This window comes from Homo sapiens, chromosome 6 (assembly GCF_000001405.40).
Source record: "Homo sapiens chromosome 6, GRCh38.p14 Primary Assembly".
NCBI lineage: Eukaryota > Metazoa > Chordata > Mammalia > Primates > Hominidae > Homo > Homo sapiens.
The window spans coordinates 146,739,706-146,755,944 of record NC_000006.12 but is presented as its reverse complement, the minus strand read 5'-3'; the positions used below and the strand labels follow the sequence as shown (position 1 = coordinate 146,755,944).

The 16,239-nt window shown below is 35.4% G+C and overlaps 1 protein-coding gene and 1 long non-coding RNA gene across 2 annotated transcripts in view; one reads left to right on the top strand and one right to left on the bottom strand.

The window, feature by feature from the left end:
• The window catches only part of ADGB (androglobin), a 216,491-nt gene that overhangs the window by 59,518 nt on the left and 140,734 nt on the right, over positions 1-16,239 (bottom strand). The window contains exons 24-27 of the mRNA NM_024694.4: positions 15,352-15,486; positions 14,674-14,827; positions 9,836-10,023; positions 3,231-3,415 (exon numbers count right to left, since the gene is read on the bottom strand). Coding sequence (NP_078970.3) covers positions 3,231-3,415; positions 9,836-10,023; positions 14,674-14,827; positions 15,352-15,486 — 662 coding nt within the window. The remainder of the gene's footprint in view (positions 1-3,230; positions 3,416-9,835; positions 10,024-14,673; positions 14,828-15,351; positions 15,487-16,239) is intronic.
• LOC105378040 (uncharacterized) overlaps positions 1-16,239 on the top strand; it is a 39,913-nt gene that overhangs the window by 15,209 nt on the left and 8,465 nt on the right. The window lies entirely within an intron of this gene.

The window sequence follows — 16,239 nt, the reverse complement described above, 5'->3', positions numbered from 1 at the left end:
CAGATATTAGGTAGAAAAGGGATATAAAGATTTTTACATATAGAAAAATAACAGTTATTTCTAGTAATTTGCTTGTAGGTTTAATCAAAATAAACACTATTGGGGAAAAGGTTCAGGAAGGGTGCTGATTATGAAATAGCTTTGCAAAGGTCAACTAGAAGATGTAATCAATTAAGAAATATAATGTGATGGAATAATTCAAAAACATACACATCAAAATTAATGCAAATGGACTGCATTCCCCCATTTTAGAGACAAGAATCTTGCATTTTATATTAGTCTGTCCTCACACTGCTAAAAATAACTGCCCGACTAGATAATTTATAAAGGAAAGAGGTTTAATTAACACACAGTTCCGCATGGCTGAAGAGACCTGAGGGATCTTACAATCATGGTAGATGAGGAAGGGGAAGCAAACACATCCTTTTTCATATGGTGACAGGAGAGAGAAGTGCAGAGTGAAGGGGGAGAAAACCCCTTATAAAACCATCAGATTTTGCGAGAACTCACTTACTATCCCGAAAATAGCATGGGGGAATAGCATCCCATGGTCTAATCACCTCCCACGAGGTCCCTCTCCCAACATGTGGAGATTACAATTTGGATTATAAATCAAGATGAGATTTGGGTGGGGCACAAAGCCAGTCCATATATCATTGTGTAGAAAAAATATCCATTTACAGGAGAAAGACTCACAGCAAAAACATGTAGAGGATGGAAAACTAAACAGATGAACAGTATCAACAGGCAAATAATAGCAAAAGGAAGAATAACAAAAGGAAGAATCAGTGATAAGAAATCCTGTTAAAGTTAAGAGAAGGTTGTTTTATGTTTATTTTAAAAATATAATACATGAAAAATATAAAGCAAATATGAAACTTACATAACTAGCAACATAGCATATACATATGTAAAACTAAACATATTAGAGTTAGAGATGTTATCACACATTTAAAAATAAAAATAGGTGATCTTAATACACATCACTAAGAAATTTTCACACCAGTTAAAGTATAAATGACAACCTTGACATTTTAAATATCATAATTAGCAAGTTTGACTTTTATGAAAGTGTATGTGTGCATTTAGACATCAAACTACCTCCAAAATAGAATTCTTTTTAAACCTCAGTGGGACAGTAATCAAACTTGATTTGAATCAGGAAACTGGAAAAACACCAGTCAAATCCTCAAAGTAGAAAATATATCTACACTTTCTAACTCCACAGAATTCAATTAGAAATTAACAGAAATAGGCTAAATAAAGCAATTTTATTATTTAGAAATTCTAAAAATGTTATAAATGCTAAGGTTAAAGAAAAAGTAAAAAATAAATCATAGCCCATGGCTAACATAACACTACATAAAAATTTTATAGCATTCTAAGTTATAAAATATAATAAAACATATGTAGCCAGTTAGAAAAATGTATAGCATTAAGTATATCCATTTAAAAACAAGATTTAAAACATGAAATAAAATTGCAACTGGCAAAGCTAGAAGAAAAAGCATTTGACTAAATTTTAAAAGTAGAGAAATGGTTTTAAAAGATAAATATAAATATTGACAAAGTAGATTATAAATCTAAAAGAGCCATTCGGGTTTGAATAATAAATCCAATTCTTTCTAAGAAAAGACCAATAATACAGAGTAAATTCAAAAAAGTCTGATTAGGAATAAATTAAAAATAAATAAAAAAGAATACATTATATTTATACAAACCCATTGAGAAGATATTTAAAAATTTAAAAAATCCTTTATGCAAATTTATGCAGATACATTGGAAATACTAAATGAATCTGTACTTTTCACTAAAAATATATTCTATAAAAATGAAAGGCAGTTAAAAAATAACCTTGGAAATTATTTTCTTATATAGTGAAAAAACAAATGAATGTCTCTCCCCTAAAAACATCAGATTTAGAAAGTTTTGAGGACAAATATAATAAATTTTTTAAAAAGAAATGAATCCTGGAGAATTTAAAAGTCTCAAAAATAGAAAAACTACAAAGTTCTCAAATTAATTTCAAGTATTCATTATAATTTTAGCTTAAGAACTAGAAAAGAATAATTGTACGGGTGCACATAGAGAAAAAAACTCATAGAGATACAAAGTTATGATTATGATCCAACAAACTGAGTAAAATTATATATTCTAAACATAGGAGTATGTTAAAACATCATGGCCAAATAGGTTTCATTCTAAGAATGCAAGAGTGATTCAAAATTAAAACTAAACTTATTAAACTCAAAGGAGTAAAATTTGATGATTTCTATAAACAACAACAACAAATAACTAATAATGTTCCAAACCCATTCAATATTAGAATTCACAGCTATCAATAGAAGGAACTTTCTCAAGTTTCATAAAGTCTAATTATTAGAAGCCACCAAAAAAGATAATTAATGATAAATGTCCCAAGTTTTCCTCCTTAAGAAAAGGAAATACGTCATCATCAGTTATTTAACCTTGGTTTGGAGGTCCCAGCCAAGGCCACAAAAAATAAATAAAGTTATTATTTTAAGAAAGAAGAAATATCAATGGGCAAAATAGGTAAGAACTCAGTTTTGCTTAAAATCTAAGTGCAAAAACGGAGAATGAAGGCATAAAAGCCAAAATATTTAGTGTGTTTTGGCAAAAAAGCTAAAATATTAACTTTTTTTCTGAGTAGCACGATTATAAGGCATTTCTTGTTCCCTTGTTTGTAATTTTCTATTTTTCCAAATATGCTACATTGGTAATGTGTGATTTTTACAGTCAGAATCAAGTTACTAACATAACTACGTAATACACCTCAGAGTAGCACTGCTAACCATTATTTCCAAAATTATTTTATTTATTTAATAACTCATTGAGAATAATATATTGCAAGTAGTAACTTTAGTTTTTGTTAATTTTAGTAAGTACAATATTTTCTGAAAATAATGAATTACGAATTTAAAAAAGTAAAAATATTCTTTCAAAATAATAAAAATTTGACTTCTTATTAAGAAGGCTCATATAATAGGAAAGTAAATTTTTCTCCAAGATGAAAAGGCTTTAAAATAAACCTATAATGATTTTCGGAGCCTAATTTGACATGCAAATGCTATACTTGTAATATTTTACTGTACTATGAAGTTTCATAATTTAAGTGGTTACTTGCTACTTTATTTTCATTTTTAAAGTGTCATGAAAACATAAATATCCATTTATGAATCTAACTATCCTGTTCATAAAGGTACACTTACACTGGGAGCTCAAACCTTTCTCACTCTTCAAGAAGTGAAATGCTGGGATTATAGCTTGGCCTTTTCCAGTGGAGCTCACCATAGTTTCTTCATTTTCTAGGACCTGCAGCTTGATGAATGCATCTGGTTTGGATGTGCGTACCTGTATTGTAGCAGGTTGTGGTGTTAGAACTTTAACCGAATACCTGTAAAGAAAAAAAGTTAACATTATAAGCAAGTATGTTGGTCTTTCTCTCAAGTCAGTAAGTGAGATAGTTTGGATATATGTCCCTGCCCAAATCTGCTGTCAAACTGTGACCCTCACTGTTTGAGGTGGGGCCTGGTGAGAGGTAATTGGATCTTGGGGACAGGTTTCTCACGAATAGTTTAGCACCATCTACTTGGTGCCATTCACATGACAGTGAGTGAGTTGTCATGAGATCTGGTTGTTTAAACATGTGTCCCCCTCCCCCTTTCTCTCTCTCTTACTCCTGCTCTGGCCATGTGATGTACCTGCTCCCCATTCCTCTTCTGCCATGATTGGAAGCTTCCTGAGGCCTCCCTAGACACTGAGCAGATGCCAGCATTATGCTTCCTGTACAGCCTGCAGAACCATGAGCCAATTAAACCTCTTTTCTTCAGAAATTACCCAGTCTCAGGTATTTCTTTATAGCAATGCAAGAACAGACTAAGACAGTAAGGAAAACTGTCTAATTTTCTGATATGATAACCTAAAAGTAAAACTACTTTTTAAAGTTCACTAACATCCTGAAAATACTGGAGTTATTAGAGACTTTGGCAAAGGATCCCAATATAGTACTGTAAAACAAAAGGAAATAGAACTTTTATTATCATCAAATCCTAGATATAAAAAATATAACTTTTTGTTTAGATGTAATAAGCAGTCACTTATAAAACTTGATAGCCCTACAAAGGATATAAACAGACGCTTCTCAAAAAATGACATACATGTGGCCAACAAACACATAAAAGATAGCTCAACATCACTGATCATTAGAGAAATGTGAATCAAAACCACAATGAGATACCATCTCATGCCAGTCAGAATGATGATTATTAAGGTCAGGAAACGATAGATGCTGGTGAGGTTGCAGAGAAATGGAAACTCTTTTACACCGTTGGTGAGAATGTAAATTAGTTCAATCATTGTGGAAGACAGTGTGGTGATCCTCAAAGATTTAGAACCAGAAATACCATTTGACCCAGCAATCCCATTACTGGGTATATACCCAGAGAAACATAAATCATTCTATTATAAAGATACATGCATGCATATGTTCACCGCAGCACTATTCACAACAGCAAAGACATGGAATTAACCCAAACACACATCAATGATAGACTGGATAAAGAAAATATGGTACATATGCACCATGGAATACTATGCAGCCATAAAAAGGAATGAGATCATGTCCTTTGCAGGCACATAGACGAAGCTGGAAGCCATTATCCTCAGCAAACTAATGCAGGAGCAGAAAACCAAACACTGCATATTCTCACTTATAAGTGGGAGCTGAACAATGAGAACACATGGACACAGGGAGGGGAACAACACTTACTCTAGGGCATGTTGCGGGAGGGTGGGGGGTGGGAGAGCAACAGGTAAAAGAGCTAATGCATGCTGAGCTTAATACCTAGGTAATGGGTTTGATAGGTGCAGCAAACCACCATGGCACATGTTTACCTATGTAACAAACCTGCACATCTTGCACAGGTACACCAGAACTTAATAAAAATAAATAAACAAATATAAAACTTGATAGCCCTAAAAGCCACCAAACCTCTTAATAGATCTGCAAACTACTGCCACGTCAACCCTCTCTATTACACAAAAAGCACTCCTGGCAGAAGCCTTTGGAGCTTCACTGATAATAGCATTTTCTGTGAATCACAAAAATACAGAGAAATTAGCTTCCACCTTCACCCCTCACCAATAGTTTGGAAACCTCTTGCAAAAAGACTGGAAACATGCAGTCTAATCCATTCTTTCCCGCTCCCCTTTTAATGCAATTAAAGAGTTGGCTTTTTGTTCTTATTTTAGGTGATTCCTCACAAATGCTTAGGACTCTATCAACTTTTAATTTCTCTAGAAATTTGCTTTTCTGAGTATCATGTCTCTCATATATATGACGACACTAAAAGACAACACTTTTTTCTCTCTATATATATGGAAAAGTTCACACAGGCTGGAGTGCAGTGGTGCAATCATGACTCACTGCACCTCAAACTCCTGGGCTCAAGTGATATTTCCGCGTCAGACTCCAATATAGCTGGGACTACAGGTATGCACCACCATGCTCAACTAAATTTTTATTTTTTGTAGAGACAGGATCTCACTATGTTAACCCAGGCTGTTCTTAAACTCCTGGGCTCAAGCAATCCTCCTGCCTCAGCCTTGTAAAGTACTGGGATTACAGGTATGAGCCACTTACCTGGCCCCTCTCCTGTATCTTAAATAAACCCCACTCTTTATTCCTCCTTGAAATTAGTTTGTGCATAAGTACAGTTCTCTCCTATCTTTAAAATAGATTAAAACAAAGCAAAAAACAAACCAACAAAACTTTCAGCCCACTTTGCAGTCCAGCCTCTACTGCATTTCCAACTTCCCAGCTCAGCACCTGAGAAGAGTGGAAGCAGACAACTCTCCTTATCTTACCACCTTCCACGTGCCTACTCCATCAGCAACACCGGTGATATGGTTTGGCTCTGTGTCCCCACCCAAATCTCATGTTGAATTATGATAATCAGGGTTGGAGGAGCAGCCTGGTAGGAGGTGATTGGATCATGGGGATGGAATTCCCCTTGCTGTCCTCATGATAGTGAGTGAGTTCTCATGAGATCTGGTTGTTTGAAAGTGTATAGCACTTCCCCCTTCTCTCTCTCTCTCTCTCTCCTGCTCTGCCATGTGAAGACTCTTCCTGCTTCCTTTTCGTCTTCTGCCATGATTGTAAGATTCCTGAGGCTTCTCCAGCCATGCCTCCTGTACATACTGTAGAACTGTGAGTCACTTAAACCTCTTTTCTCCATAAATTACTGAGTCTCAGGTATGTCTTTATAGCAGTGTGAGAACGGACTAACACACCAGGTGCTAAAGCTACTCTTGCCAAGGTTTCAAGGAGTTTGTCACCATCCTATAGAAACTTCAGTTCTCATCTTCTTTTACCTCTCAGGAGAACTTGACAGTGTTGACTGGACCCTGATTTCCTCCTCCTTTAAAAACTCTTCCACTATGAGCACAGCAACTTTTGTACTTTCCCTCCTGTTTGGGGGCTGCTTTGCTTCCATTGACAGACATTCCCACAAACATCAGAGAGTCTTCATATTCTGTCCTAGGTCTGATTCTCATTTTGCAAACTTTCCTGGGCACTTCCATGAGCAGTAACAGAATAATGACTCCCAAATCAATGTCTGCAGTGGAACTACCTATGCAGTATCACTTGGCTATTTCACTAGACCACCACATTTAAAAACTAAAAAGGAATCAGTTGTCTTCCTATGGCCCACCTTGCAAATGAGCTTCTCCCCTCTATCTAAGTAAATGACATCATCCAAACATTTTCCAAGCCAAACTCTAGAACTCCAGCAAGGCTGTCAATTTTACCTCAATATCTTAAAATCCTTTTTCTTCTCTCCAGATTCACTGTCACTGCCTGTTGTGGGTTGAATTGTGTCCCCGCCTACCACCAAAGATCTGTTGGAGTTCTAACCCCCAGTGCTTCACAATGTCACCTATTTGGAGATAGGGTCTTTTGCAGAGAATCAAGTTAAAATTAAGTCATTAGAGTGGGCTCTACTCCAGTATGATTGGTGTCCTCATAAAAAAAGGGAAATTTAGGACTGAGCACTGTGGCTCATGCCTATAAACCCAGCACTTTGGGAGGCCAAGGCAGGTGGATTGCTTGAGGCCAAGAGTTTGAGACCAGCCTGGTCAACATAGCAAGAGTCTGTCTCTACAAAAAATTTAAAAAATAATTAGCTGGGCATGGTGGCATGTGCCCGTAGTATCAGCTATGGTGAGGTGAGAGGATTGCTTGAGGCAGGAGTTAGTTTTTAGTGAGCCATGATTGCACCACTGAACTCCAGCTGGGCGACAAAGTGAGATTGTCTCTAAAGAAAAAGGGAAATTTGGAAACAGAGGCACACAGGGGAAGATACCACGTGAAGATGTTGGCAGAGATAGACGTGATGCTTCTAAAAGCTAAGGATAACCAAAGATTACCAGCAAACCACAAGAAGCCAGGAGAAAGTCACGAAACAGGTTCTCTCCCACAGCCTCAGTTGGAACCAACCCTACTGACACTTTGATCTCACACTTCTGTTAATAGTTTCCACAGCTCTGCAACAATAAATGTCTATTGCATAAGTCACCCACCCAGTGTGTGGACTTTTGTTATGGCAGTCCTCACAGGTCAATATGCTGCCCTAATTCAGACTGCCATAATCTCACTTCTGGTTTATTTCAAAGCTTTTACCTGGTTTCCCTCCCTCTGGTTATGCTCCCCTTCCATTCATTCAACACACTGCTGCCTTGAGTGAAGTTTTTTTTTCCATATTCCACGTCTTTTATGATTAAATATAATTTTAAAATAATATAGTTCTAACATATTTTCTGTTATAAAATATAATTAATGGGCTGGGCGCAGTTGCTCACATCTGTAATCCCAGGACTTTGGGAGGCTGAGACAGGTGGCCTCACTTGAGGCCAGGAGTTTGAGACTAGCCTGGACAACATGGTGAGACCTGATCTCTACAAAAAATACAAAAATTAACTAGGCTTGGTGGCATGCACCTGTAATCCCAGCTACTTGGGAGGCTGAGGCTTGAGAATCACTTGAACCCGGGAGGCAGAGGTTGCAATGAGCCAAGATCGTGCCGCTGTACTACATACAGCCTGGGTGACAGAGTGAGACTCTGTCTCAAAAAAAAAAAAATACATATATATATATATGTATATACACATGCATATATATATTTTTAAAAATTCATGCTATGCGACATAATTTTTAACACAAGTCTGATAATGTTTCTTAAAATCCTTTAAAGAGTCCCCTTGCTCCTAATGTAAAAATCCATACTTCTTGTCCAGTGAGGCTCTTCTCAGAAAGCTTTTGCTGACTTTCTGGTCTTACTACTTACTATAGCATGCCAAAACCCAACTTTGCAAACAAAACAATGTCTTGAGTTTCCAGAAAAGGTTGTATATCCTTTAATTTATGAACTTTCACTTATGCTACCTAAGCAGCTCCCTCTTCACCTTCCTCACCACTCAGCTTGATGACTTTAATACCAGCTTCTGGGAGTAATTTAGGTAGTAGGTTAAATTTCACTTTTTAGACTATTAGTGGCCCTGCCATGTGATACGATAGTTTTCTATCATAGTAGTTAAAATATTTTATCACAATTGCTATTTTTAGTTATTGGTGTGTTTCTTTCCTTCTGGGGAATACACATATTTTCCAAATTTTCTGTGCAGAGAAGTGTATATTAAAAAGAGAAGATAAGTATTCCAACAACTCGTTGAATAACAACACATTGTTAATGGAGGCCAATTATGTATCAGGCACTGTGTTAGGTCCTATATTGAAAATAAATGATTCTTGCCTTCAATCAATGTTGATTCTCACAGTGGCCAATGTGAAATTAACTAGATAAAATTTGATATGTCACAGTCTCAGAGAGAACAAAGGACTATAGGAACATGACCAGAGCCAACTAATTATATTTGAAGGTTTAAGCACAAAGTTTACTATTGAAAATTATCATTAAAGGTGATGATTTTTTTTTAAGTGGAGAGGTGGGGACAGGACACATGGGACAAGAGGAAATGCTCGAGCAAAATAAAATTTCTGGGCATATATATCAGGAGGTGGTTGTTAGTTCCATCAGGAGAGCACACTGTGTTAGGCATCTGTTCAAGAATGCTAAATAACATGCTATGTGCTTCGGAGTTTATCTGTAGTCAATGGAACGTTATCAAAGGTTTAAAAGCAGGAGAATCACATATTTAAATATGTGTGGTTGAAAGGCAATTACTGTGGAAGTAAAGGATGAGTATGTAAATGGATAGGGAGAATGAGAAAAAACTGATTAAGTGCAGAAAAGGGAATATAGTAGAGTCATGGATTCCAGAAACAAAACAATTGTATAGACTGAAGATAATGAGGGCTGGAAATAGTGCAGGGACATTGAAGACTGATTAATGAAAGAGAGTGGAATCTATGATTAGGCTATTTAAGGAGAACACTGCACATAGATGAACATAAAAAGAAGGCTGAGTTGGTTGATTAAACCCCCACAAAATACTAGCCAGAGATGGAGCAGAAGAAGAAGAAAATAGTAAGAGGAAGCCATGTCATGAAGAATCTTTAATCAAAGTCAAGTAGGATGAAGACTTAGGGAAATCTCACTACCATTATATGTAGCCATACAGGCTTAATCTTACGTAACACCCACATAATCACATCACACTCAATTAATTGTTTCCAAAAAGAATATGGAATTTGAAATTCAAAACCGACTCAGGATTTTACTGCAGAATTTATTTTTATCCTAAAATATTAATATTTTTTAAAAAATGCCTTTCCCCTTCTGTCATTTACTTGTACCTGAATAAAATTTTCTTATCATTGGGTATGTAGTAATCTCGGATTTCCTTTATGGCAAAGGAATTGCATGGAGAGTCTCGAGAGAGGCATGGCAGTGGAGCAGAAGAACCGATGAGACGCAGTTTCCATCGTGAGGCTGCTACATATGTGTCGCCTGTAAATGCTTCCGCCACAAAAGTGTATCCCTTCTATAAGAAAGACAAATTACACAGAAATGAATTATGTCGTTATTATTCTATCGAATGTACAATATCTAATAGTGCTAAATGTCTTATTATTATGATATACCTACAGGTCCCAAGATCTCTTAATAAACATAGAATCACTAGGATTATGTTTGGAATTTCTCTTAGAAAGCACTATCCTACAAAGTTTTCAGGAAAATAATAAACTCTGATATTTTCCTTTGTGTGGTTCCTTAACTATAAAATAAAGTGCTTAACTACAATAGATGATTACTATGTCCTCTTCTAATTCTTCTAATGCCTCCCATGGCAGATTTTTATCATTGCACCATCCCAGAGTAGCCCAAAAGCTTCTTACTTGATTTTCCTGTAACCCAGATCTATCTTTCTGGAATACTGAAGTAAGAAAAGCAGAAGAGTTCAAAGAAATGTATTCTGTTGACATGACAGGTAAAACTGTAAAATTAATAGCTGATTTGATTCCACAGAACCCAGATGTGTGATTGAGGATGAGCTCTTTAGATTGCAGAAAAGGAGCAGCTCAAGAGCCTGGGAATGGCTTACTTTATGATGGGGAAGAGCTTGGTTTAACATAATTGGATAGCTGACTAAAAAGTCAGTGAATCAAAAGCATGATATCATAATAGATGCAAATGTTCAAAGTAATTCTGAGATTATAATTCCAGATGCCCCTAATAAAGAATAAAAAGATAGATTTGTCTTCCAGCTGTACTCTGCCCACAAATAGCTCTCTGGTATGTTTAGATTTCCAGAAGTAAAAATTAGATATATATAAGCCAGAATGAATTTTTTAAAAGTTTCATACACATCTAGAAATATTAGCTGGAATTCCAGTCCCCATAATGAGATGAGAATTGCAACACCAGTAAGGACTTTATGACATCATGTTTGGGGCAAGTAAAAAAAATGTATAATAAAGCATTTTTACTGGCAAAGGGTAATGCACATATGTATTGATATTTTTATTATTATTTGAGTTCATTGTACTACTGAATTAAAGAGGCAAAGCAAAATTATTTTGTTTTTGCTCAGACTCAGAATGATTATAAAGGAAAAAGTTATTAAATGGTGGGATTAGATATTGGTAAGTGAAAATCCAAAGCTAAATCAGTGATAGGATTATAGGACAGAACTTGGCTATTCTAAATGGATTCAGTAGTAAAACATTTATATAATCGAGTACTGAGTATCGAGGAATCCCACAGACTAGTATTCTGAATTACAGTGTATGGTCTTGAGTATTTATGAAAAAAAATAGAGCAAACAATTCTGATTTTTCAAACTTAAGAAGAATATATACTCTGCAAACCACAGATTAGTAAGTTTAATAATAGTGCTTATCAAAGTTCTGCCGCAGCTCATAAAAAGCATGTCTCATGTGAACCTCAAAGATAAAACCTATTCTTAAAGCCAGCATGAGTTTATTGGAAACAAAACTTATTTACTTTTTTCATAAGATTAGAAGACACAACATCAGGTAAAAGTTGCATACATGGTGTTTATGAATTTCGGGCAGGCATATGTCAAGGCCTCTGGTGAATTTCGTATGGGTCAGGATGCCTCTGGATGAGCCTGCTGGGCAGAATTAGCCACAAAATTCCCACCTAAGATTGCTAAGTTATACAACTGCTCAATACAGTTTTAGACATTATCTAGTCGGCCAAAGATGTTCTCTCTTGAGGTGTCTCTTGAGTCCACCATATCAACATGCCTTGTAGGTACCCAAAGACTGATGCAATCACAGGGTACAAAACAATGGAGCAATGAACCTCTTTATGTTTTGTGGGTCAGAATTACTTTCAGAGGCAGCATTCAGTTCTGGGAACCACATTTTAGCAGGGACAAAGGTTGTTTGGATAAATGTTCAAAGATCAAGAATTATGAAGAGAGGAAAACTGCAGCACAAAAGGGTCCAATTAAGCTCTTTTTCTATTCACACAGCTTGACATACTCCTCCGCATTTCTCCACTTTTAACTTTTTTCTTTTTGGAGATGGAGTTTCGCTCTTGTCACCCAGGCTGGAAAGCAGTGGCGTGATCACGGCTCACTGCAACCTCTGTCTTCTGGGTTCAAGTGATTCTCCTGCCTCAGCCTCCCTAGTAGCTGGGACTACAGGCGCACGCCACCACGCCTGGCTAATTTTTGTATTATTAGTAGAGACAGGCTTTTGCCGTGTTGGCCAGGCTGGTCTCGATCTCCTGACCTCAGATGACCCACCCACCTTGGCCTACCAAAGTGCTGGGATTATGGGCATGAGCCACTGCGCCCGGCCTTAACTTTTTTTCTAAACAGAGCTGGCTAGAGTGAGAGGGCAGAAGAGATAAAATATGAGACAGGAAGTATGTTTGCTGCAATCTCAATTTACAACTTAAAAATAATAGTTAAGTGGAGCTGGAATGTTCTTCTGAACGTTGACTCAAAATGTATCACTTAGAACTATCCGAAAAATTCAAGTTTAATCTAGAGAGGGATGTCTACAATGGAGTTTCTAAAACAAAAACCAAACCCATCCCAACCCAAGGAGGTATGCTAGATGTAAATAATAATCAGATTCGTACTTGGTTCAACCAAATATTCTTTAAAGGTCTCTTCCAAAATGAAGTATTCAAGACTAGCATTAGTATATTTATCTAGTAATACAAAATTCATTGCTAGAATTTGATGACATCTATAACCTTGATAGTCTCCCTTTAAATTAAATCATCTTCTTCCTCTTAATCTTTGTGACTTTTGAATTCTAATCACAAATTAAATAAACTGTTTCTATTCAAAAGGAAGTCTAACTCAAACTTTAAAAACAAACATTCAAAAAATCATCTACTGGTGTGTGGACAAATTTGTTCGTGAAGAACTAGCTCTGTAGTTTGGTTTAACCCAAGGCATTCTGCTGCAGAAAGGTCAGGTTTAGAGGAGGGGTTTCCAATATTTGGCTTCCCTGGGCCACAGTGGAAGAATTGTCTTGGGCCATGCATAAAATGCACTAACACTAACTAAACTCAGAAGCTTAAAAAAAAAAGAATCACAAAAATATCTCATAGTGTTTTAAGAAAGTTTACGAATTTGTGTTGGGATATATTTAAAGTCACCCTGGGCAGCACGCAGCCTATGGGCCGCAGGTTGGACAAGCTTGGTTTAGAGATATCATTTATTAGAACATGGGGAAGAATAAATATAGTATAAAAGGAAATTGTGTGGGTCAAATAAAGTTTGTAAATACATGTCTGATGTACAGGAATTGAATTTTTATTAGCAAAGTATTCTGTTTTTAAGTGATATGTAAATGCCCTTTCAAGGTAATTAACAAAAACAATAAGTAAAAATAATATATTGATGCATTGACTTTAATCAAGTGAGTTTTTAAAAATTATGCTTAGGTGTATAATTCCAAATATAGATAACTGCACAAAAATACTGATGTTTATCAGATTTGCTTATAAAATGTAAATGTTAAATTTGCCAAATTTAATGCAAAATAAAAATAATTTAAGCTTAAGTTACAATTTGATAATATCAAATTTAATAAAATCTGATTGTAATATAAAAAATCTGTCTTATTAAAAATGATAGAAAAATATGCTAAGGGTTTAATGAAACATATACAACTTCTAATTATAATAAAATGGTAAAAAATCTTTCAAGAAAACAGATTATATATGTATATAATATACACATATACACACATATGTATCAATGGGGTTAAGTAATTTCATCGAAAATTTAATTGCCCTTATTTTTAAAATGTTTCCTAAAATCTCTAAGACAGCATGAAAGAGCTATTAGGATTTTTATGGAGTTAATACATTTTTAAATGTATCCTTCATTTATACAAAAGCAGTATTCATGAGATAAGTATGTTCTAATTTACACAAAATAATGTATAGAATCATAGGCTGAAATGAATCTCAGAAGTCAAGTACAGACATAACTCAAAAAGAAAAATGAAGAGGTTTAAAGACATAAAGCTGCAGAAAGGAAGACCAGAGCTAAAACAGCCCTCTTCATATCCAGCTAGGTATACATTATCATTTGTTGTGATTCTCTCTTAGAGGAAATGACTGAAAAGACAAATATGAGGTTTGAATAAACAGAGAAGCAATGTGGTTTGAGTGAAGGTCAGAGATCAGGGTCTATCATTTAGCCACAGTAAGGTCCCCAAGTACCTCTGGCTGGTAAAGCAATTTATTTAGCTCTCAAAATGAGGTGGTGATGGTTGGTGGCTATGTAACTACAATTTTCTGAAATATACAGGAGTAGAATAAAAACCCAGTGGGAAACAAAGATAATCATATGATTTGGTTTTGGGATAAGGCTAAAGGAGCTCTTTAGATTCATTTCTATTTTAAGCATTTATATGTTTCTTAAATTTCAATAATTAGAATTTCTAATGCTTTCTTTTTGTCATATTTTCTTTCGGAAGAAGAAGAAAGAGCGTTGAGAGGTAAAGAATGCTTTAGCACTTACATTTAATATCTCCTACTGTTAAATATATGGGACTTCTATAGTGAAAGATCAGGGCCTTATTTGTCTGTTAAGTAGATTAAAAACAACTCTACCCTCCCTTCAGGACCCTCTACAAGCTGGTAGCTTTTCACTGCCATTCTATCATATGTGGAGAATAAATTTTATACCTACCTTATTCTTGGTATAAAGATAAGGCACCACTTTTTGGAACACCTTTGGCACTTGCTCCATTGTGTCATTATTAACAATGTGTAGGATACAGATTGGAAGTGTAGTATATACTTTGGGAACCAAAATCATGTCTTGATGAACCAAAAATGTTTCTCTGTAATTACAAAAGCATGAACTTTCCCTTGATGTGAATTCTTAAAGGAAGTTTGAAATTTGCATTAATGCCAAGAAATTTTTTTAAAAATCCAAAGTTCCAAATAACTAAAAGGCACACATATTATTTTCTTTTAAAAATTACTATTAATATGTTATTTTGTCAAGTAAACGCAAACTCTATTAAAAAATCAATTTTATAAGTAATTTGTGACTTTTACCAAATATGCTATTGCTTAGAAATTAAAGGATCTTTTTCTATACTAAAAGCATATTAATTTGTTATAGTATTTTTATCATGAACATAAAAGCTTCTAATAATTACTAAACATTCTTCATATTTTGATGAAAAGAATAGATAAAAATTTCTATAATATCTCATTTAAAATGCCAAGTGTGGAAGAATTTTAACTAACTTATGAAAGCAACCCAGAAGCTAATACCTTTACTACTATCAGAAATATTCATAAATACAGATATTGCAAGCCATTTAGAGACATATTTGTCACTATATAACAACCTCACCTGAATACTATAAACCAAGAATTTGGTGGCTGTTCTTGATAAGTCACAGTATAATCTGCAAAAGCAATCTTAGTTTCTTCATCTTGATAGCATGGATAAGATTCCAAAGACTTGCACTTGCTTTTAAACATTAGTCTAGAAATATAAAAATAAATTATGTATCAATGGCAAAAGCCACTTTAAAGATAAACTCTATTTACAAAAAGAAATGACAAAAAATAGTATAAGATATTGCAAGTCATTGTTGGCTAGATTGAGATCTTGATCAAAGGGGGTCTGTGTAGTCCCTGATACATGGTGCCAAGAGAAGGGGACCCATTCTAGGTTAATCACAAAAGATGTCTGTCAAAGGTGCCCAAGGTTATCTGAGGCTCTCAAAGGAAACATGATTCATGATTGAGGGAGTAAAGTTTACAGGGGGAAAACCAGAACCAAAGTTGAAGCTATAAGGATAGAAAAACTAGAAGCAAGCAAACCAGCAACAAAACTGGGTGAGAGTCACTGAAGGGCCTGGAATTGAAGTAGAGAGAATGGAGACTGAAATGGAGTTTAAAGTGAGAAATACGTTTGGAAAAATAGATTTTAAAAATTTAAGGCTATGCGCAAGTGGAGAGTGCTGGCTTTCCTCCTGCATGATTTCTGAGTGTATAAGGGAGTAGAGCATACACTGCTAAACTAATTATGGAGCTGAGGTTTCTCCACGTTTTCCCCCTGGAAGGCTGTGACATATTCCAGAACATAATGGGAGTGATGATGTGATGGATTTTCCAGGTCTTATCCCTCCTATTCTGCCAGAAACTGGATGTGCCCTTTATAGCACTGGGAATATAAGGCCCTTTATATGATGTCTCAGGTATTAGCTGGGATGGAAGCATTATGGCCATAGCA